General features: G+C 35.4%; 1 protein-coding gene across 15 annotated transcripts in view; it reads right to left on the minus strand.

Annotated features, from left to right (window-relative positions):
• The window catches only part of NRXN1 (neurexin 1), a 1,113,630-nt gene that overhangs the window by 614,778 nt on the left and 473,168 nt on the right, over positions 1–25,684 (minus strand). For all 15 annotated transcript variants that reach the window (NM_001330096.2, NM_001330087.2, NM_001330083.2 and 12 more), the window contains 2 exons: positions 19,307–19,745; positions 4,973–5,356 (listed from right to left, as the gene is read on the minus strand). In NM_001330096.2, coding sequence (NP_001317025.1) covers positions 4,973–5,356; positions 19,307–19,745 — 823 coding nt within the window. The remainder of the gene's footprint in view (positions 1–4,972; positions 5,357–19,306; positions 19,746–25,684) is intronic.

Here is a 25,684-nt window from a genome sequence, read left to right on the forward strand (position 1 = left end):
TAGCATTCATTGCCTATTGGAAATTTTCAATTGGAATATGAAATTTCAATTGGAATATTTCAATTGGAATATTATTAAACTCTTGATTTACTCCCTTCAAAAATGAACAAACTCAAAACATGCTCCTTCTTCAGTCTTCTCCATCTCAGTAAACATGATAATCTCATTGCTCAGACCTAAAGCTTTCTGATTTCTCTTACTCTCTCTGCCATGTCCAATCCATTTGCAAGTCTGCAAGTCCTAAAGGCTCTAATTCCAATCCACATTCTGAATTGATTGCTGTTCACCTCTGCCACTAATGTCCCTCAGACTTTGCTCTCATCTCTCACCTACACCACTGTAGTAGCTCCCTCAACCGTGTTCCTACTTTTTTAAACCTACAAAGATCAGTGTGACCCTGGCCCCAGTCCATCTCTCTGGCCTCAGCTTTAAGTATGTCCCGCTTCTTGTTCAGTGAGCTCCAGATACACCAATTTCATGATCTCACTGAAGTGTTTGCACTTTTAGATCCCTCTGTTTAAAAATGTTTCACCCCAGATCTTTAAATAGCTGGTTCTTTCAGCATTTAGGTCTCTGCTCAAATGTTACTCCAGAGAGACCTGCTACCCACTCCAGTTATTCAATATATATTCATCATTTCACTTTGTTGAAATGACCATTTCTTGTTTGTAGAGTATTATCTGTATATGCCCTTTAGAATACAAGTACCTTGAGGGCAGAGATCAGTCTCTCATATGCATTGCTCTATCAGCAGCAAGTGCCCCCACAATGCCAGGCCCACAGCAGAGCCTCCATAAATATTAATTGAATCAATAATTGCACACACACACACACACACACACACACACATACACACACAGTGAGCTAATTTCAATTTGAATACCAAGCTTACATAAAAGCTTACCAAAGAAATTAAGTATTTATTCTGCTTATTGCAAGTGAAATCTAATTTCAGTACTGTGCATGAACGAAATATGTAATAAGGTCCACTTTGAAGGCCAAAATTGGGCTGCAGAAGATAGGCTAGGGAAGTGTCTATTTATCAAAACAGGGGCCTCATGGTTAGGCAATGCCCTAAGCACTGATAAAACAAAATATGGTCTTTCAAAAATATAGTGGTTCTATATAATATCATATTTTTTTCCAATTAGACAAAAAGTTTCCCAAATGGGAGTAAAATCCCAGTGGTCAAAGACCAGTGCAAATAATCAAATTGCTGTTGCTCAAAAAATAATGAAAACCTGAGTGTAAAGTTATAGTGAATTCTAGAGAGAAAAATGCTTGTGGTATAATTTTAAAAGAAATTTGATCTTTACTTTTGTTTTTCCTAAACTAGACAATCATGACCCATATCTGTAAAGCAACAAGCACCCGAATAAAAGTGTAAAAGTCATTATCATGTGTTCAGTTACTTTGGTTTCATATAGATAAAAGGATCAAAACAGTGTTTGTTTTCTCTTCTTTATTTAATCTCTATAACTAGGCTCTATTATTCAATAATCACATTTTTGAAATAATCATATTCTTCTGGGAAAAGTAGCTTGATTTGATTGAAAACTAAATAGGGGGCACCTCCTTTAAGAAATACAGATGACTGACAATGGATCATAAATATAGTGTGAAATACAACCCAGAGAAAAAAATAATCAGAATCATTAGCCTTTAACATTCTCCAGAAAGCTGCAGGACTGAAATAACATAGTAAAGTAATAAAACTAGAGTGCCCCCGAGTGTCATGTTAAATAATTCTCAATGTGAAAATAACTTGTTGATAAATGACAAATGAAAGCCTAAACGATTCCTCACAATTAGAGTTAATGTTTAATTAGACAAGAAATGGAAAATGCACAGGGTTGTAGTCTAGAGTTGCCAAATAAATGGTAAACAACATTCTGACATTTGAAGGTTATGCTATTTGGCAGCATCCTTGAACACTAGTAAAATTATTTCATCATTTAGAATATACAATAATTCTTTAAAAGGCTAATTCCAATACAATACTTCCCACTGGGGGAGAAAACCAGTTTCAACTTTGTCTTCTATATCTCCTTCTCCCTTGTCATTAAGTTTGATAAATTTCCTTTTCTACATTATTCTTTGTTGCAGTCTAAAGTGTACACCTGTGCTCAGTTTTGCCGAAAGGCAGTCACATATTGTGATCAACGATGAAAATCAGACAGGGAGCCAAATTATATTGCTCTGACATCTGTCCCTCCATCTGTTAGAATTTAACAAACAGTATAAAGCAGATCTCTGATTATATCAATGCTCTTATTCTTACATATAACAGAATAATTTTTATATGATCAAGTCTCCACAAATTCTCAGTTTTATTAAAAATAAAGCAGAAGGGAAGGCGCTAAATTTAACTTTTATTCATTGAACATTATTTCTGTACTACTCCTTCTTATAGGATCAATACATGTAAAACAAAATACTCTCTTCTTGTCTGCCTAAGTTAGCAAGTATCTTATTCTTTCTTATAAACTCCTTTGCTTCCTTAGGCATGATAAACATCTCCTATAATGCAATTGCAACATAATTTTTCCATGTTGAACTTTCTAAATCCAAGGAGCTGAACATGTTTTTTAATTACTTTGAATAATTATTTTCATAAATTATAAATTATCAATTTTTGCTCAAAGTTAATAAGAAAACAACTTTAAAAGTTCTCTTAAAAAAAGAAACTTCAAGAGTTGTCAACTCTTATTTGATCAACAACAGCCTTAAGTGACCAATGTGTGTCTGGAGAAGAAACTCTGTCAAAGCCCCCTGTTTTAAATTGGAAATTCGGAGGTTCAGGCACAATCTTGTGTTAACTGAACTAGGGCATAATAGCCACGAACTGGGCAGAAGCCAAATTTTGTGGTATTGAGCATGACAACCATCACACATTTCCTTTGCTTTCAGGAGGCACCCTAACGTGAGCAAGAAAATTACTTCTGAAAAGCAAAGGACTCACGCAATACACATGGGTAGTCCAGTAACAAGAACCACCCAAAAATGCATACAGCCAACCTGGAGACAAAGAAATCTGCAGAAACCTGCAGCCTCCTATCAGATAAAGACGTATGCTGAATCCCAATGATGAAGTTTGCTATTAAATTCTCATTTACAAATCTACATATGCTTGCTGCCCCTTTTTCTAATCATTGCAATATATAAATATTTCTTCTCTCATCCTGGCTCTGAAAGATCTACAATTTCTATTTTCATTTTTGCCATAGGTAGTAGCGGAATATTGCCACAGGGTGGTACACCACGCATAGTTAACAGAAAGCTTCCGTAATTCATGTGACAGTTGAGTTATACCCTTTTTTCAGCTTCACTTAACCAAGAGGCATCAGAACAACTGGCAGCTCTCTGGGTGATTAAAATTAAAACAAAACCTTAAATCGTGCAAGTCCGCTAATCTCATATTATGCGTAACTGTATTATACCTTGCAAGCTTTGTTACATTGTTCATCCTTTTGGCAATTTCCAAAAACAAAACTAAACAAACAAACTAAAATTAGGAAGCAAAATGCAAAGAGGAAACTTATAAAGAATATACACCATACTAACTAAACTATATAGAAATAGCTAAGTTGTATTGACAATTCACAGAAATGCCGGTTAGGTACTATCATAAAGAGAATGAATATATCTGTATCTATGTGATAACATACCCGTCTACTGACCCATCTAATTGCATGACCTACAATAATAACAGCATATGGTAAGTGGTTTAATATATGATTTCTATGTTACTATTAAATATTTATATTGTTAATATTAATCTCAGAACTAATAAGTTGATGTACCTCCTTTTTAAGATAAATAACCAAAATCAGGTTTCAATTTTGGGTTTCACAAAACAACCCCTCTTTTTCCTAGGAGGTTTTCGGCAAACTGAACTGAACTATTTCAGGAATAAAAAAGGGAAACAATAAATATTCATAGCTTAAAAATAGATGCCAGGTAATTTTAGGCTAAATATGTAATAAAGCAATGTTATTTGTAGCAGGTGAGGACAATGGAACAACTCATCAATATTTTTTCATATTGATTTTTAGTTCCATTGTTGAAAATAAGTGGCAATAGGTGTAGTGACTAAAGCATTTATCTGAAACACTGGGTCGATGGAAGAATAAACTTAGAACTATTTGTTCTGCTATTTATTCCTTTAGCCTGTTCTGCAGATCAACTGGGATGGCTATTGCCCTTCAGTTTTCTTTGAATCCTCATTCCTTTTATTGTATAGGGTGAAAAAAAAGAAAAATAAAATGTGGGTTTGCCTCCTGTTAGAAAAAGAGAGGCAGCACCTGCTCAGAACTTCAATAGGCACAGCTAAGTCTTAACAGCAAATTGGTAAATGAATCCTCTGCAGTTGGTTAGGTCCTAGCCAAAGGTAAGTACTTTTTCTATTAGGGTACACTTCCAGAAATGTTGGTGCACCTTAGATGATTGAAAGTCAGCTTACTTTTCAGAGAGGATATTGCCTCTTTTGTAAGTTGACTGAAGTGAAATGAGCAGGCTAACTTAAGTCTCACCCAGTTGTGTCAGGGAAGTTGCAACTCATAGCTTAGCTTGCCTCAAATGCTATTTCTTAGCATGGGTATTAGCACTAGAAGCCATAGGTATGTATAATTCATGCCTCTTTTACTGTCTAATGTTCTGAAGTTAAAAACTGGGCAAAAAAGACAGCAGTTACTGTCTATAATACATCTTAGGCTCATACTCTAGAGGATACTAAAGATTCAAGTTTCTATTCCTGCAATATACTTAAGAACTGTGTCCTTTCAGAATCAAGCTCTTTGAAAAACATTAAGAGCTCATTAGTAATCCATGTCAGGTATGGCTGCTCAGCTTGCAAACAGAGTTTACTTCAGTAGAGTATACATTACGTTTCAATGGTCAGTGCAGGTTTGAGGTCAACATTTAATAAACTTTTCATCTCAGGGAGTTGGCTGCTGGGGTTTTAGAATCCTACCTCTCTCACAGGACCTGCCAAGATAGCCTGTTCCGGAACAATCACAGACATATCTGTTCCACCCATCCCTGCACATGCCATTGTTTTTGCAAGGGTTGCTAAGGCACGGTTTTGCTGTTTCCTTTGAGCAGGAAGGCTTCACTCCAGCAGTACTTTGAACTTCAGCCATTTGCCGGATATCTTTGCTTTGGCCATCGATGAACAAATCCCTGATGCAGCCCACGTAGCCATAGTTGAGCAGAGCAGTCCACACCTCGGTGGGGAAGACAAGGCCAGCTTTATTTTCTGGCAGCCCCCCCAGGTACAACTCATCATCCAGGTCCAGAATCTCACTCTCACCAGGAGCAGTGTAGGGAGTACGCAACGTGTTGACAGAAATGGTACCTATTTCAAAGAGAGGAGAATGCACAGGTCTTTAAAAAGCACCAACGTGTTATAATTATCTTTCTCTCTTTCGTCTGCTTGATGGTTAACTCCTTGGAGGCAGACAATTATTATTATTCTTTCTGTCCTCACTTTTTGGTATTTCCTAGAGAAATTAAGATATCTGTGGTATTAAGAAACTTTAGAAATAAAACAGACTAAATGGTTCCATTTGAACTCGAGAATGGAAACCTAAGTGTACAGCCAACAAATAGTGTTTGAGAGCCTCAAACAGTTCAGTCAATGCATGTATACATACATTAAAAATAAAGAAACTGTAATTCTGTATCAGTCTCTAGAAGAAAGTCAGATTCCCCTGGGTTAGTGCTTGTTTTCAAAGCCAATATTCAATTGCAATCCAAAGAAAGATTTCATGTTCCTATTTTAACTGACTTGATTACTTTGATTGAGCACAATAGTTTCACAGATTACCTATGTCAAAACCTGACTTCATCACTCCTAGCTGTATAAACCTATTGATTAACTTACATAGTTTTGTTTCCCTTACTCATAATATGCGCATAATAATATTACCTACCTTATAGAGTTGCTCTTAGTGTTAAACAAAATAATACTAGTAATGTACATGGTTTATAATAATCACTGTATAAATGTTTGTGATTATATTTCAGTGAAAGAATCAAGTAAAACCAATTGCTTCCTTATTTGTAAACCAAGCTAGTTATTTATTTAAATTAACAAGGCTTTCTTTTTCTCACTCCAAATGTTAAGGAGAAAAATCTATTGGTTTATAAATACAAGGGCTCTAAGTCCTAAGTATGGAATAACCAGGTATTCATCTACATGGGATCATTTGAGGGTCACAGAAAAATATTAGTGGAATCTATGAAAAAAAAAGAAAGATATAAAGCATATTCCTGATCAAAACGTGCATACACACTGTCAGATTACCAAAATTCCACTGATACTTTATCTTCAGAAAGACCTTTGTACAAATGCAACCATGATACCTGAACAGAACACCACAAGGACCCACAACCACATTATCCCAGATTTATTTCTCAGCTCCAGATTATAAGAAAGGATAGGAAGAGTCTGATGAGAGAGAGAGGATGAGAAAAGGTCTGATAGCATGCTGGGGCATGGGTATAGAACCTCAGGTATTTAGGGAAGAGACACAAGAGAGACCTGGAGATGGGAGGTGTGATACAGAAGTAAGGACAAAAAGAAGAAGTGGAGGGTAGGTCAGGTGTGTGTAGGGAGACACATTTTAGTTGCTACACAGAATACCAAAAGCCCGCCCCAAGTGAAAACACATATCTAACTAAGGATGTAAGGCTGTGGGCCCTGATGTGCCCAGGAGTATTCCAAATCCCAGCAGAAGGGCCCCCTTCAATCTAGGCAGTCTAATGGGATCTGTCTTTGTCAGGGAGAAGGGCATGGAAGCCACTGACAAAGACTGCTCAGGTGGCCGAGTCATTAAGAGGATATTTGGCTCTCTAGACTTTCAGAGAAAGAAAAGGGAAAAGCTCCTAGGGGAGAAACACTCAAAGGCATTGCTATTTTGGCCTTCCAATGAGGGGAGCAAAATAGAGATTTCCTAGGGAAGCAGCTAAAAGAGAAAAGGACAAAGTATTCATTTTTACTGTTCACATTTGTACAAGTGTCTAGAAGAAAACTCTCATTTAGGAACATATGGGAACCATAAAATCCTATTTAGAAAAATATAAAGCATGGCATTTTGGGGAAATAAAATTTATAATATTGAAAGAGAATGGTGGCTCTTTTCTATTTCAAATGGAACGATCATTACACGCATTTTAAAGCATCATTTTTTATATAGCCCTATTCAAAATACCTAAGAAGCGAATAAACAGATGGTCCCTATCCTCTGCAGTAGCTAATGAAAGTTAGAATATGATGAGAAAGAGTGTCTTTTAATGACAAAAGGAAAGGTGGACACTTTAAAAAGCACATATTATCATGGAAAGCAAAGAGTTACATGCAATGAACAAAGTGCCATGTTCTTTTTTTTTTTCTTTCTGAGACAGAGTCTTACTCTGTCACACAAGCTGGAGTGCAGTGGCAGGATCTTGGCTCACTACAACCTCTGCCACCTGCTTTAAGCAACTCTCATGCCGCAGCCTCCCAAGTAGCTGGGATTACAGGTGTACGCCATCACAGCCAACTAATTTTTGTATTTTCAGTAGAGATGGAGTTTTGCAATGTTGGCCAGGTTGGTCTTGAATTCATGGCCTCAAGTGATCCACCCACCTTGGCCTCCCAAAGTGCTGGGATTACAGGCGTGAGCCACCACACCCAGCCAAAGTGACATGTTCTTAAATAAAAGAGAGAAGGATTCTACTCTATTTTCCAATTAGTTCAATAAGGCCTCCTAAAAGCCGTAGAATTTTTGAGGATTTGACGAAATGAATATCCACTATTGAGAAATTGAGAAGAAATGTTAGGAGACACGGAACTTAGCAAAGGAACAATGACAAATTATTCCAAGTGTGGTGATATATTCAAATATACATATATATAAACATATATGTATGTATGTATTCCCATATGCTCTTTTTATTCAGCTCAGATGGGGAAAAAAGCCCTGGGAAAGGCTGTACTGTCCTTGCTCAGGGTATCGTAATTCTGACACTAAGAGGACTCCTGGAGGACTCCTGAGTCGAGGAAATTCATTGGCTTCCACAACCCACTTTCTCCCTCTATTCCATGTAGTTTCCATACCTTGGTGCACTGTGTCTGCACTCACTCTAAGGGGCAAAACGGCTGCCAGGTGGTTTAGACAATCATTCATTACAGTTTGTCTGACAGTAAGGATGGAGTAACTGTGTCTCTTGATTTTTATTTATGGTGTGTTAGTGCTTGCTTTGAGCAAAGTATTGTAAGAGAGTTCAAATAAGTTATTTTAAGAATGTGCTTGATGATATGGACAGGGTAAGATTCTTACTACAAATTTATCATTAGACTTGAGTTTTCTGAACACGGTCATAGAGACCACAATTTTCAAATATCCCAGTGCACACTTAAACACACATCCACCCACCCACCCACACCCACACACACACTCTGAAACAAATGTTTAAAAGAAAAAAAAAATATTCAACTCTACAGCCTCTGAAGCACTTTGATATTTTCTCTCTCATCATATCATTTTATTAAAACAAATGCTGGACCATCAATGGATTTTAGCACCAGCTAAAATGTTGTAACCCATGGTACAAAAAAATAAATAAAAAACAAAAACAGATTTAAGGGTTACTATCATAAAGAGTAAGTTTCTCCCATAGTTCCCTATTGTCCCTTTGAGAGACAATTGTAGAGTTCTCATAGAAAGAACAAGCAGGCCAGGCGTGGTGGCTCATGCCTGTAATCCCAGCACTTTGGGAGACCAAGGCGGGTGGATCACCTGAGGTCAGGAGTTCGAGACCAGCCTGACCAACATGGAGAAACCCCATCTCTACTAAAAATACAAAATTAGCCGGGCACGGTGGTGCATGCCTGTAATCTCAGCTACTCGGGAGGCTGAGGCAGGAGAATCGCTTGAACCTGGGAGGCAGAGGTTGCGGTGAGCCGAGATCACGCCATTGCACTCCAGCCTGGGCAACCAGAGCAAAACTCCATCAGAAAGAAAGAAAGAGAGAGAGAGAGAGATAGAGAACAAGCAACAAAACATGAGACAGAAAGAAAAAGGGATATAATCCTACCTTTAATTCAAATTTAATCCAAGAAAGACTAGAACTTAAATTGAGCTCTGGATTCAAAGTTAAGGAGACACATCAGGCAAATGGATGGATCAGATATCAGTCATTGGAATATTATGCAAACAGACATCATAGGATGAAGAAAATAGGGCTGAAAATCAAGTACTACTTTATCTATATGCTTTGCTAATTCGTATGAACTTGTATTTTAGAAAATCTTTGTAAAAGAGATGGCAAATAATCAGAAAGTAAAGAATTTAGTTCAAGTGGGATGGAAACAATTATTTTTATATTTTGAAAATTCATGGAGTAAAAATGGTTAGAATTAATAATTAAATTTTATTACTGAGACAAATGCAAATAGAAGTTTATATTTTAGCCTAAACATGTGTCCTGAAATAGACACATTTCCAATAAGGGATTTGAATCCCAGACCTCCTTAATGACTTTTACTATGGATATGAATCAAAGAACATATTCACCTAGCAAAAGAGTCATCACAGAATCCGAATTAGTTTAAACCAATTTAACTCATAGATATGAGCATAGTGAAATTTAAATATTAAGGTTCCCGTGTGCTTATTTTATTAAAATTGAGTTATAAAATCAGTGGTTACAAAGAACACATCAAATTAATATTTAAACCTGGTTCATTGATAATTGAAGACAATTGAGTAGTTGCCAAACTCTATATATCAATGGAAAAGGAGAATTTTCAAAGGCTGAGGTACATAAATGTTATAAATACATTTTTAAGAGAAAACAAAAATCTAAATATATTAATGGGTCATCCCTCTATCTTTTTCCAGGAACCACAAATACTGACATGTTCTTTTTTAAATAGTTTGATTCCTTCATACATTCTACCCCTTCTACTGAATTTATATTTGCAGTTTCTGGTAAATTAACAAAATATTTTATGTAAACATTGTTACATTAAGGCTCCTAAAATTGGGGAAAAGTTCATATTTGAGAAATTATCTAGATCAGGGTTTCATGCTTCACTATTTAAGAATCTGAAGCACCCTGCTATGCTATTTTATTTTTTAAAGGAATGAGATCGCAACTAAAAATAAATTATTTGTGGACATACAACTTTTATAATTTTAATGTAGAAACGACATTACATTATATTCTTACATGTAAAGCTGTTTTTTCACGACACATGTAAGAGGTAAAATGAAGGTGATAAGCAGACAAGGTAATATTTAAGAATATTCATAAACAAGTAATAAATTTATGTTTCTTGTAAAACTGTATGCAAAGGTTCAAAAAACTTTTTAAAACAGCTCTTAGTTATAAAAGTGGAAATGAAATTTACAACGTAGTGAGGTAGTTTTTCATTACCTATTAGTTTCCATTAACTTTTCTATCCTATTTTTATTGTCTGTTCTACTTCCATAAGATTAGTTTACAGGGTGAGAAGAAACACAGAGTGAAGGTGAGATTTAAAATAAGTTAAGTTGATGTCAAGAGTTAAATTACTTCACAAGTTTAAATTACTAGGAAATGAGGAGTAGAAAATAGTGTGCTGTAATAGGGAACCCTTTTTCCTGGTGAGAAAATCCGATGTTCCAGCTCTTCAACTAACTAGCTAGCAAGTTTAGCCAAAGGATAGATCTGTTAGGCTTCAATGTGGCTCTTATGAAAAATAAAGAAATTCAGTAGATGGATTATTAAGATTCATTTTTGAATAAACAATCTTTAAATTACTGCTTAAATGAATTGTTTAAATTAATGTCAATTTTATCTATACTTAATTCTGCTCCACCTGTCCCTACACAAATGAATCAGATTTCACAAAGTTACAAATTTACTTGTCAAATTCCTAGTCTAATAACAAATTCAAACTTGATGAAATATGCACAACATAAGTAATAAAAACAGAATACAACATTGACAATAGGGTATAATGTAAAATGTAAAATATATAATTATCATAAAATAATTTTAAAAAAGAACCAACATATTAAGAGTGGGTATTTGGTGACAGTGTAATTATGAGTGTTATTTAAAAAATTTCTGTATCTTTTTTAAAACCAATGTTATCTATGAGGTTTTTAAAGAAATAAAATTAACTGTATTTGAAAACAAAACAAAAATACCATCTTAATATTCCACTCTCTGCTTATTACCATCTGTTTTCTGCTTACTTGATTCATCTGTGAGCTGGGAACTTCAGGAATTAAATCAATATATGAAAACAGAACTCTAATGACAAAAATTTAAAAGTTTAATAATGTCTGGTATTGGCAAGAATAAGGGGGAAAGGGCACTTCAATAACTGTAGATAAGAATGTAAATTGAAACAGCAGTTAGTAAACTAACCTGTCATTGTCTTTCAAAATTAAAATTACAATTAATCCAGCAATCCCAATTCTCACATTCAATCCTAGAGATATTCTGACCAATATACACAAAGATTTCATGTATGAAGGAATTATCTATAAACTAGTTTAAAACAGTGAAGGTTTAAAAAAGTAAAAATTCAAATGTTCTTCCATAGAGAAATGCCTAAATATCAGTATGTTCAAACTAAGGTATGTATGGTGTCACTACAAAGAATGGCACAGAAAAAGCTATCTTTAAGTTTTTTTGTTACACAGTAATTGGTAAACTATAATCTTGACTATAGAAAAAAGGCTGTATAAGTATTTTATGTGTGTGAACATATTTATAGATATATTGATGCCTAGAAGAAGAACTGGGAATTTTTCAACGCCAAATTATTTTAGTGGTTATCTATGGAGAACAGAGTAAATTGATGAGGGAATGTATGGTAAGGGGAAACGCTTCACTTAGCTAGTTTTTGAATTGCCTGAACGTGTTCACCAAAAGTATGTATTTATATATTAAATACATCATGCATTACAAAAATGCACATATATAAACACACATACACATTCACAGCAATGTATAGACACATATACATTTTAAACATGATCATACACAATGGAAGGTTGTAAATATCAATCAAATAACATTCTGCAGCAATTGAAATATTATTTTGCAGAAGTTCCACAGATTTCCACTCAGCATTCCACAGTAAGGGTCACTAGGTCCGCGTGTGGTCAGTAAACTGCCTATCTTCTTAGGGTGCTACTGATGCCATAGTCCAGAGTCTGCCCCTTAGCTAGGCAAGCCCAATGAAGAGATTTGGTAGATTTTCAGAGGGCGGTTTCATTTCCCAGGTTTGACTGATATTTACTAACTCCATAACAGCAATGTATAAAACAAGAATGCCAAGTTATTGATTTCCTCTGAGGAATTACCTATTACAGGACATGAAATACTTCCCATGTAGCTCTGCCAATATGGATGTCAATTATAATCAAATATTACTTATTCATTTATGATGAGAAATTTACTTGTTACAGGAATGTGAATACTCATATGCATTCCTCAGTATCTGTGGAAATTGGTTCCAGGATCTCCTGGAGACACCAAAATCTGTGGATACTTGAGTTCCTGATACAAAATGGCTTAGTATTTGCATATAACCTATGCACATCCTCCCATGTACTTTAAATCATCTCTAAACTACTTATATCTAATACAATGTAAATGCTACATAGTTATTATACTGCATTGTTTAAGAAACAATGACAAGAAAAAATGTCTGTATATATTCAGAGCAGACTCAATTTTTTTCCAATTATTTTCAATCCATAGTTGATTGAATCCACAGATGCAAAACCCACAAAAAATGGGGGGCCGGGCCGACTGTATACATAACTGGTCTATTTTCTCCCTCCACTCTAATCAGACTTACAATGGGAACTAAATCTTAATCAAAAGAGTGCATGGGGAACATGGATTCTGAACAAGAAGAATGCATGAGATAAGGAAATGTATAGTAATATTGGCCTGGGAAGGCTTGACACCCTTATCTCAGTTAAATGACCTGCCTCCATCTTTACAGTGGGGATGAAGTTGTCAAGTTCGCTAAGCAGTGTTCAGAAGATTACTGCTAATATTTGCCCCTGTGAGTTTCTTTTCTTTAGATATGTTAATACATTTAAGTTCTACAAGCCCAGGGGCCTAGCTCAGGTACTTCTGAAAAGCTCTGCTCTGAATCTTTGCTTATGATTCCATAATTCCCAGAAAATAAATTTTGCTACTTAGATGATCTTGAGCAAAAGAGTACATAACACCATATTAAACAGATAGCCTGAAAAATTATGTTTATACTCTAACTGCAACTATATAAAATATATATAATGTTAACAAAAACTGAAGGAAAATGTACAAATATAAAAAATACTTTGAGTGTGGAGAAACAATAAATGATTTTTTTCTATAAACTTCTTCAGAATAAATAAATATAAACATTTTAATAAAACTTAACATTACAATTTTAAGCAAAATTGACCCCATCTGGTCATATGATCAAAGAACTAGTAAATTATTGGTAAGGTATTTCGGTGTTTCCTCTGATGAATAGTGGTTTATGGGTGTGGATATGAAACAAAATATAAATGCACTTAAAATTACTTCAATGTATATAACAGGCTACTAGGCAGAGGCATGGGAGGAACATTTACAGTCAGAGGGCAAGTTCAAACAAGACCTAAGCAGAGAAATTGTCTAATGGTTGCTCAAGTAGAAATGTTTAAGTGTGGTGATTCATGAATGGTGTACACAGAAATCAGTGCTGGTAATAGATAGCTAGAAAGTGCTGTTCACATCAAACAGTGATTACTATAAACCTCTAATTATGTGCTCTTGAGAGAGCCTTGTACCTTTCCCACTGTAATATCTAGTTCTTAAACTGGAACTCTACGACTTCAATTCAAATCTCAATGGCTTCTTAGCTGTTAAATGTAGGCTTACCCATGAATAACCGCTGACACAATCAGCTGTACCCTGCTGTATACAAGCCAACTTTGACAAGAATAATGAGTTTTCTCTTTGATTTCAATGTGTAATGATGGTTTACAAAATAAATAAATAAATAAATAAAATAAGACTGGCAGTTTGCTATAAAAATACTTGAGAGGGTACTTTGACTGAGCCAGAGTTTAACACAAATTTAAACAATATTTGTGCCCCAAGAAAACAATCATTAACCTCATCCTAATTGTAGCTCCATTCACAGTTTAGCTAAATACCTGGGCAGCTGTTTTGTGTTGAGGGTGGGACCAGAGAAGAGGCAAAGGGGAAGTCTGGAAAGAGAGAGACTGGTTTAAAAACAACAACAACAACAAAAACGCTCAGCTGTAAGTCCTGCAAAAATTGCAAAGTAATGGGCCTCTTCAATCATATTTATTAAGTCCACTGACTTAGGGGTTTTGCCCTGTTAGTAGCTAAGTTATCCACAGAGGTTATTTACATTTTGCAGCACTGAAGTCATCCACTCTGATTCACTAAATCATGCCTGCACTTGGTATGGTTTCTCCTTTGCTAGCTTACTGCAGGATCTGGAAGTGCCATTTACGGCTCAGCCCACTTGGCTTTCCATGTCCCTGACCCTTTAGTGAGCAGGCAGTGGAAGAAAGCTGCACTGCACATAAAGAACAGCTATAGCCAAGCAGAATTAGTCAAACTGTGGAAATTAGAGTGAATTTTCCCCATGTCTCAGATTGGAAGAAGGAACATATGTTAGAAATAACCAGTTACAATCAGTTTTGCCAAAATGAGAAAGTTTTAGAAAATTACACATAAAGGTGTTATTTCTCATTGAATAAGGGGTTCATATACCCCTTTCAGTGAACTAAAGACCAAAGAACCAAAGGGAAGGCCACCAAAAAGATGGACATCCTAGGTTCTTGTCAAGAGCACACTTACTGTGGTTGCATATCCCAGTCCTCAGAAAGGAGTTACCACCTTCCTTCTTGATGGATTTTCCTGCTCCCTAAATGTCTGCAAAATGATATAGGGACCTCAAGACCAAGAAGGGACAGAAGTCCTGTTCTCATAAAAACTTGTCATTTTTGTACCAGGTTTACACATTCGCTAACAATTATTTAACTTTCTCAGTGGCTTATTTCAAACATCTGGGCTTGGAGGATGGTGTTGCATTCACAAGAGAACACCAGTTTTTATCCTATATCATATAAACTGCTTTCAGAAAGTAATGTAATTTAAATAAATGCTTACAGTTAAAAAAGTTGCATTTACAATTAAAAGAGTGCCATTATTCTCCAAATGTAAAAAATGATGCTGCTAATTTATTTTATTTTATTTTTTTTTAGAGTATCAGGGGTTGTTTGGCACTGTACTACTTACATGTTTTTAATCTTTAGTTTTTCTTATACCAAATATATACTGAACAACTGCTATACCCAGGAATGTACTAGAAACTGTGGATAAAAAAATAAATACAATTTTCTCTATCTGGGATGGAAATTATGAACCTTATAAAGTGGGTAATATTAAAATTAAATCATTTGTGTCCACCAAATATGATTTTAACCCTCTCTCTATCCAAAAATAACCACTACTTAGATTGGCAGCAAATTAATGACCATAATGGTCTCATTATATTTCTATTTACTTTAGTATGGCCAACAGCAGAAAGAATTGCTCTTAGGCGTGGGTTCCCTCTACTTTAATAACAGAGATAATAAGGCTTTTAAAATACTGAGCTAAGGAATATTCCAGGCAAATCAACAGATATGGCCTCATTATCTGTATGTCAGAAAGGAGCCCATGTTACCCTCTTGTCATAGCAGTACACTTTCTCCACATTATATGAAAAATAATATTCATATAGCCCCTGAATATAACTGATATAAAAAATGGGTAAAATAAATTATTTCATGAAATTTCCATGTTTCTTAGTTGTAAGTGACCTCTGAATCTTACTGTTTCACCAGCCAAATCAGAAATATCCTTTAAGTAAAATAAAAGCAAGTATAGCCATTCATTCAATTTTTAAAAGGCTACTCCATACCAAACCAATGCAGTGTGCAAATATGGAACTTAATTAAAATACTATATATAAAATATTAACAGCTGCTATTAAAATTACATTAAACACCCTTGAGCTAGGCTAACCTAATATGAGCTCTATTTTTTTTCAATTTAATAAAGGACAGAACTTGGCTTAGTGAATGAACTTTGGTTTTTATATTGTTTGTACCAATTCACTAATCTGAAATTTTAATCACATAAAAGTACTTTACCATCACAACAGCACCAAGCATAGTAATCTGATCTTTCCACTGGATTCAAAGAAAAATCTCATGCTTCGTTTATTTTCTTTCTTAGATGCAAACAACACTTCCTTAGAACGTGTTTCTGTTCTTCCCATACAGAATTGAGCTTTGTAAATTAAAGTAGATATCATCTAATTTTGACCTTCTCCAATGAGGGTACAAATAGAGTAATTAATAAACTCTTGGTAATTTGGATGAATTAAAGAGCTTAAACAGAAAAAGTAGATTTTATTCTGCTTGAAGATTAAAGTATTTATCTGATAATTAATTAGATTGCATCAATACTTTCTCCTTATAATAAGAAACCTCATAAAATATTCAAAATAATTTTGTTCTCTGTGAGTATGTGTATATGTGCATGTGTGGCATGTATGTACATATGCATATATATACATACATATACACATATACATGTAGAGAGAGACATGCACACATATATAGACACACACACAATTTACATAGAAGAAAGACTGGAAAGAAATACCCAAAAATATAAATCATTATTTTCAAATGAATAATGAATACTTTCCTTTTTCTTTTATATTATTTTGTATTTACTAGTATTTTGAATTAATCGTGTATTACATTCATATAGTTAGAAAATTCCTCATTTCTAAGTGAATGAAAAGCAATTGATTTGATGTTTGGTGTTTTTTTTCTCCTCTGAACTTTCAGAAGATAACCGTCTAATCTGATATGGGTTGTTTTGTGTTGTTTTGTTGTTTTGAGACAAGGTCTTGCTCTGTTGCCCAGGCTGGAGTGCAATGGTATGATCACGGCTCACTGCAGCCTGGAACTCTTGGGCTCAAGTGATCCTAAGTGTGGGGATTACAGGTGTGAACCACTATTTTTGGCATGTTTTGTTTTAAAGTGCTATAAAATCTGACTTAAAATATCTCTTCTTGAAAGTAATTTTCAAAATTTTATTCTAGATCTATCTTAAGTCAAATTATAACATCCACAAGCTAATATTTCAAAGCACTACATAAGCCCATGCCCACGCCACTTCAAAATTCTTCTGCTTGAAAGTTCATATGTACCAAATTAACTGCTATCTCTGGCAGAGATAGGCTGGAGGAAGTCAGAGGGGAACACTCTATTATTATTGTTATATTTTTGCATTCCCATCAATGAACTCTTCTCAGCTTATTTTTATTTTTATTTTTTATTTTTTTTTATTTTTGAGACAGTCTCACTCTATCTCCCAGGCTGGAGTGCCGCGGCCCGATCTCGGCTCACTGCAAAATCCGCCTCCCAGCTTCATGCCATTCTCCTGCCTCAGCCTCCCGAGTGGCTGGGACTACAGGCACCGCCACCACGCCCGACTAATTTTTTTGTATTTTTAGTAGAGACGGGGTTTCACCATGTTAGCCAGGATGGTCTGGATCTCCTGACCTCGTGATCTGCCTGCCTTGGCCTCCCAAAGTGCTGGGATTACGGGCGTGAGCCACCGCGCCCAGCCTCTTCTCAGCTTAAATCAGAAAGAAGAGGAGGAGGAAGAGGAAGAGGAAGAGGAAGAGGAAGAGGAAGAGGAAGAAGAAGAAGAAGAAGAAGAAGAGGAGGAGGAGGAGGAGGAGGAGGAGGAGGGAGGGGGAGGGGGAGGGGGAGGGGGAGGAAGAAAAAATGGTAATTCAATTCCTTGTAGACTTCTTTAGGAAAGTGAGAATATTTAGGGAGACAAAGTTTCCAGAGAGGAATGAATCAGAAACACAGTCTCCAATATATCTGGGAATCAGAGTAATGGGTTCTGACCTTCCTTCTCTCCACACTCACTCCCAACTCCTTCTCAATTTCCATATATTCTATTTCTTTATTTTGTTAGGTAAAAAACATATTTCCAAACAGGCAAACACAATCTTCTTGATCTATAAACAGCAGAATAAAAAAGGAAGGATAAGAGGGAAGTAGAAAATAGTTCAGCTGGGAGTTAACAAGTACTGAGGGAGCCCATGCAAGGAGGGTATGAGCAAGAGAGTTCAGCCCCAGGTCTTCAACAGGGCCCTTCTGAAAGACCATGGTTATCACAGATTACTGAGTCTAAAAGAAGCACTCAGCTTAGTTGGTTGGGGGTGGGTGAAGTAAAGAAGGAGAGTAGATAGGTCTAAATTTAGTTATCTTCTATTATAAGATCATTTGATTTATGTATGAGTAGGACAATCAGAGCATGGGAGCCCGGGGTGAAGGGAATTAAATAAATGTAGTTGTATACTTAAAACAGATTTCTCTCTCCTTATCTCTCCCTGTCTGTCTGCCTCTTTCTCCCTCTCTTCTCTCTCTCTCTCTTCCTCCCTCCTTCCCTCTCTTTCTCAGGATTCCTACAAATGTCATCTCTGCTTCCTGGATGATTATTTCCCCTCAAAGCTCATATTAGTCAACATCCTAAGCCCCCTAAAACACTCCCAAATTTCAGTGTAAATGTGATTTCTTCGGAGAAACTTTACCTGCCACCTTTACCCCTCCTCTCTTAGAGAAATAAAATGCAGCAACAGGAAGCAGAATGTTTGCTGGTGGAATTCCAAATACCTTTCATCAGAAAGGGAAGCAGTTTGGAAGGGCAGCAGAGCTTTGCCACTGTCCTTGAAATGCTACTGTATTGATTAAAGTGTTTTTAATGCCATAGACTCATCCTAAAGTGTGACGTGCCAAACTAAGGATTTTATGTTTGGATCATTCTAATTTTTTTTTCATATTTTATATTTGCCACTTCGGGTACCTCCAAACATCCAATAACATAAGAGAAAACTGGGAATAGAAAAACTTTGAATTTTTTCACTTGCAAATTCAAGACAAAATTTTCTGCAAGATTTGGCACTTGATTACCCAATAAAAGTTCATTTAAGAAGCTATTTTAGAAGACATTTGAGCATTTGGGGTTTGATGCCCAACTATGATAATTAATTAGCTCTTTCTTTCATGGTGTGAAACAGAAGCAATATCAGGCAATTTCTTTTAGGCTAAAGAAACAAATGCAGGAAGTCTTTAATATGTCTTGGTTTTCACTTTTAGGAATGGCATGGGTGGGTGGGGTGCTCCAGCAGATAAACAGCATAGAAAAATGATAAGATTACCTGACCGTCCGTCTCTCTGGAAGTCCACATGATACCATTCTCCATCATTCACTTTCTTCAACAGGGCTTTTATTTTTATAGTACCTGACCCCATGTCCAGGAGGAGGTAGAGGTGGCCATCTAGCATCTCAATAGCAAAGAAGTCCACCTTTATCATCTGTGGGTGCTTGGCATCTTTCTGATGTCTTGGCTTGCCATGGCTAAATAAGATGAGGCCATTTGGCTCTGTTGTACGGAAATCAAATGATATGGAGCCAGTTTTCTTTGCATTCCATTTAGGCAAAGAGATGAAAGACTCTGGGGTTTCAAAGGTGATTGGGTCTAAAGTTGCAACATTCTCACATTTAAATGCCACCACTCCATGGATCTTCATCTTAGGATCTCCTTGCTTGGCAAGTCGAGATAATTCCAGCCTCACATCATTATTTTTATATACAACCTGTGGGCAGAGGATAGCAGTGAGAAACTAGCCTCCATATTTTAATATCTGAAACTTGTGAACAGCTCATGTAACTTTCAACGACATCATAAAAAGGCACACGATATTTAGTTAATTTTGTTGTATAAAGGCAACATTTCTCAGGCAAATAAAATTCAAGTGTCAATTCATAGAACAATAACCATAACAACTTAACTTGATTCAAATAATGTGTGTGCAGATGCACCCGCGCATGTGCATATACACACAAACTGCTTGTATTTAACTCAAATAATTTAAAAATCTGCATATATCTTTAATTTCATGTCTACATTACCATGCTAAGACTTGAACTTATAAAAGCTACTTGTTTCATAGTTGTCTATGATATTTTTAAAATTAAATATAAGCACTGAGGTTATTCAGTTTTCCCATCATTAAAGCATTTGAAATTGGATACCATTATATACCAGTCCCCTAAAATATTGGATCTCTTCTATTATCTATATATCTGCTGTGGATATTGACTTTGCAAGACAGTCACAACAAGTTAAAGCACAAAACAGCCTGACATTTCTCAGAAAAAAAATATATAACTAAGATACAGAAGATCCCTGACCTGCATCAATACCTTTGAATACTGTTAAGTAATGTGGCACTGCCACATGTAGAATATGGTGCTTCCCCTCAATTTATTCAACCTGTGTTACTGGTGATCCATTTCACTTTTAATTTACACAAATGCTGCGCAAGGGTTGTCTTGTACTCTCATTTTCCAAGGCACTTCAGTGAAAGAGGCTAGGCACTTCTGAGTGCTTACTGATGGTCCTAAGGCTTTTTGGATTCCAATTAACACATTTGATAATTCACTGACAGGGTTCACGGTATCATACATTTGCTATCCCTTCACGCTAATAAATTCAAAGGTATTTTGACATAAGGATAAAGAGAGAAGGACACCTTTTCTCTACAAAATGCATACAGTGGATAATCACATTTCTAAAATACATAGACCATACTTACTTGAGGGTGAATTAGTTATCTAGGTCCACATAGCTGTCTAGGCTCTTTCAAGAAGGGACTCTATAGATTTCAAAGCTCCCAACATTGCTAGACTCTAGATTTATTTATCCACATGTAAAAATGTACATATATATATATGTATATGTATACACACATGTATGTTTTGTTTTTCATTTTTCAGGAATGGCATGGGTGTTTTATATAATATATGTAACAGGAAAAATAAGACAGCCTGTATCTGATTAGCGCTATGAAGTCAACCAAGACAACGCAGCAGTTATTCCAAACCCATGGCCAACTGAACCAAGAGATGGCTGATGAGTTTCCTGATAGGATTTGTTAATGAATACTTTATTTTTCAGAGTAATTAAGAGTACATGCTCTGGTATTGGACTTCCTGAGTTCAAATTCTGGCTCCAGCATTACCGAACTGGGAAATCTCTGTAAGCCTGTTTCACTCCCTGAAAGGAAAATAATACTTCACATAATGGTTATAACAATTAAATAAGAAAATACACATAAGTGGGAAAATCTACATAAAGGCATTCATTCCAATGCCAATCACATTGTAAGATTTCAATAAATATTAACTACGTAAAATACATGATAATAAAAATCAATGCTTTATCATCTAATAGACACAGATTTTAATTCTAAATTTATCCATAGGAAAACATTTAGAAATAAAGCCCACACATATAATTGGTTTTTATACATGATTTGTGCCAACTAAATAAGTCACATCTTTCCAATGCTGGGCCTGGTGTTTCAGTTTACCTTTATCTTGGAGAAGGATTATAATAAAGAACATGATATCCCTTATTCTTTGAACAAATATGTACAATGGTTTAACAAGCATCTATTGACAACAAAAGAAGAGAAAATGAACTTGAGCAATAACAAAAAGGAATTACATTAATTCTTAAGAATACTTTTTTGAAAAGAGAAAGATCTATTAAGTCTTAGAAAAATTTATTTAGGATTGCCTTTCTTTGGAGATCTTTAGAGGCAGGGAAAATGCTTTTCAAGGATGATTTTCCAAGTTTTATCGCTTCTCTCTATGACTTTCATGCTACTTAAACCTATATTATTTTTCCTTTTTCCTATTGATTTATATTCCAGCATGTGGACATTCTTTTGACATAGATATTGATCAAGAATAAGTATTTTCAGACCCAAATGATGCTTCTCTTGATCAATGCTAACACTCATTCTTATAATAGAACCACTGTAAAAGAATTGAGTGTTTCTGACATGAACAAGTGGGTTTTAGCCCTGGTATATTGTCTCTTGAATCTGACATCAGCCACCACAAAGTTGAAGAATGAGGGGCAGTCTAAGTCTGGGCAAGGATTTCAATGAGACATAATCTTATAACTGAATCAGGTGACTTGGTGATGAAAAGGTTCAGGAAGATGTAAAAAAAATAGAAGTAGGGATAATTCCCTGGGCAAAATTTCTTAAGGTTAGCCATGCATCTCTCATAAAAAAAAGTATCTCCACCAGAATCAATGCTTTATATGCTTTACACTGGCAAGAACCTTGCTCACCACAGCGCAGCACCAAGATCAGTGGCTGGCACAGAGTAGATGCTCAATAAATATTTGTTTATAGTTGAACAAAATTCTTCCTTCACCTTTTTAAACCTAGTTTCTAGATTATAGGCTTTTGTAAATAACAATATTTAGACCTATAATTAAAATACAGCAGAATATGGTATTGCGGACCAATCTCATAAACTAATTACTATTTTGCCCTATTTCTCTAGAAAAAAGCATAAACTTATGTGCATATCCAGTTCATAATTGACAAGTTGGCCCATGCATTGGGAAATTTCATCTTCACACACATTTTGTGGGGTATAAATTCCTTTTAGAACGAAGAATGCCTGAGTTAAAACTCTCCAGAGGTTTATACACAAAAATATACACTGTGCTTCTCCTCAACATAGTTCTTGTAGGTAAGAACTATCTCCAGATACAAGAACTCTTTCCTACAAGAACTATCTTGAGAAGAAGCACACTATGTATTTTTTTCTTCCCATTTTGTACTCTTTGAAAGGCTACTCCAGAAAACAGAAAAGCAATTTTGCATTGGTAGGCTTACGGCTCTCAGATTTACACTACTATTTCATCTGACCCAGATTTTATAATTACCCTATTTTTCTAAAGTTAGACCTACTCTTAAAATGAACTGAATCTAGTTCAATTAGAATAATGAGTAGCTAGTAAGTATTCTAACTCCTCTAAAAATTCATGTGTAAGCTATTTTTGCTTCTTTCTGAAACAATGTGGCACTCAATCATGGGAACACCTTATAATTATTCATATATTTTTAATTCTTATGTCAAAAGTTGCAATTTACATGTTTCACTTTTGAACAAGTTTCTATATGCTTTATCATCATAACAATTGATGATATTTGTGCACACTCATTTGGATCTGTTTATAGAACCAAGGTTTCTTTGGGGACATTGATTTTTTTTTTTTTTTTAAAGAGTGATTCAAAATGTTGAATTTTACTTCCTCGCTTCATGGGCTTCTTTCCCATTTCTTCAAATATTTGTTAGAATTTTTAGTGTCCCTCTCATGTTAATATGCAAGAATAGGGCGTAATATGTTTGTGTTTTCACATTCCTAGGGTTTACCTTTGAGGAAAACAATCACTGAGTATTATCTTTGATCTTAATGATAATCCTGAAAACATGACAGCAATGCAGAGAAAATAAATAACTTAAAGAATAGGAGCTTAGTAGTCTGCATATTAACTTGGTTCAATCTCAAAGCTATTACTAAGCCAAGTCCCTAACCTCTCTCTGTCTCAGTTTCTTAATTTTGGAAACTGACATCTATAAAGGAAAGGCGTGCCATAACTATAAATTCTTGAGCTTTTTTTACCCTTAATATGTGTGATTTGGGACAGACATAAAAGATGGTCGATTGTTCCTGACCCCTTTCTGGCTTTCTCCTGTTGCAATTTTTGATGCCAGGATATTGTTCTCTACTTTCAGATACACTGAAACACTAATCCATTAGTAAAGAGAGTGTTCACTGCATCTTCTCGTACACAGACATGCCTCGAGGATTATATCTACCTAAGTTTTGTACAGATGGTGCTAAAGCACTGGTAGCTGATAGATAAGGCTCTTTCAACAGAGCGGGAGTATGTGAAATTCAGTGTGAAAATATTTGCCACTCAGATAATGACTTTTTAAAATAAATATGTGCTTCAGCTTGGAAATTACAATGGGGGTCTTAACTTCACTAACATGCATGATTAAGACTTTTCATTACTTAACTATGGTAGTATGCAGGATGGTGAAATAAGCGACCAAAGTTAGTGTTGTTTAGATATTTAGACTTTGTTATGACCCTCCCTGAGAGAACATGAATGACTCATATTTTAATCTATCTTGGTTTTATCTTTCATACTTGTGGCTAATAAGGAGTGAGGCCTAAGAATTTGGTTCTCAAGTCAGATTTCAGAGAGAATTCCAGCTCACTCATTTTCAAACCTGTGACCTTGTGCAAGTTCCTCAACCTTGCCAAGTCTCAAGAGTTTTATTCGTAAAGGACAATGGTATCTACCACATTAAGGTTACTGTAAATAATAAATTGTATTTTAGTTAAAGTGCTAATAATGGGTCCTAGCATGGAGTAAGTGATCAAGTAAATACTCATTGTTTTTATTAACATTATTATAAATAACATTTCTTATTCTTACATTGAATTGATGGAGCTACACAATTTAATTGTCATAACAAAGGTAACAGCTAAGAAGGTAGATAGCAATTGATTGGTCACATATTTAAGGGAATTAAATAGTGCTGAGACCAGCAGGATCAAAGGTATTCAGCAGACTGGGGCTTCCTTTTTCATGCTGATATTTACGTTGCAGTTGGATGTACACATCAGGCTTTCTCTGTAAAATTCCTTAACTAGAAAATATACACAGCAGGCTAGCTAACCTAGGAGTTGTATTTTCACCCATGAAAGGGTTTCTGTGGTATCTAACAACAGCGGCTACCACTATCACCAAAGCCACCACAACAATCAGTTAAGATTTACCAGTTCACTTTCTGGCAGGCCCTCTTATAAGAGTTTTATATATAGTAATGTGTTTAATTCCCATATGCATCCTAGAAAATAGGTATAATTATTTCCTATTACCATAAGTTACCTAGAAAATAGGTAACATTATTCTACTTTATCAATAAATATCTGGAGGCACAGAGTGACTGCATGTCTTTCTTCATGATCATGTCTAATCCTGTTTGAATACCTAATGACCTTAACCTCAAACTTTATCTTTGTTTCAGTAGGAAATTTGTCTTCGTTTTTGATAGCAGTTGCTAAGTAGATTCACAATCAAACAGCTGTTTGTCATTAGGCAAAATGATAACCTTTCAATGAGTTACATGTGCGTTCTAAATACCAGTATTTTTCCTTCATTTGTTGTCATTAAAATATCTCTAAGTGAATCAAATGTCACAAGTAAGTAGAGGAATTTATTGTGTATCTACTGATTAAAATGTCCCTTCAAGTCCAGTTATAGCAGAGGGCCTATTTCTGTTTCCAAGATGATATTGTAGTTTTTCAACAGGTATGTCATTTAGAATGTAACAAACGTTATCTTAAAAATCTGTGCGGTTTAAAAATTATTTAAAGGGACTGTTGCTTTAATGCTGATTTTTGTTTGTTTATTTGTTTAAAATGCAGTTAATGCTTTTACTCTATTAAGACCAAGTGAAGGCCGAGCGCAGTGGCTCAGGCCTGTAATCCCAGCACTTTGGGAGGCCGAGGAGGGCGGATCATGGAGGAGGGCGGATCACGAGGTCAGGAGATCGAGATAGAGACCATCCTGGCTAACACGGTGAAACCCTATCTCTACTAAAAATACAGAAAATTAGCCGGGTGTGGTGGCGGGCACCTGTAGTC

The sequence above is a fragment of the Homo sapiens genome, chromosome 2 (genome assembly GCF_000001405.40).
Source record: "Homo sapiens chromosome 2, GRCh38.p14 Primary Assembly".
In the NCBI taxonomy this organism is placed as follows: Eukaryota; Metazoa; Chordata; class Mammalia; order Primates; family Hominidae; genus Homo; species Homo sapiens.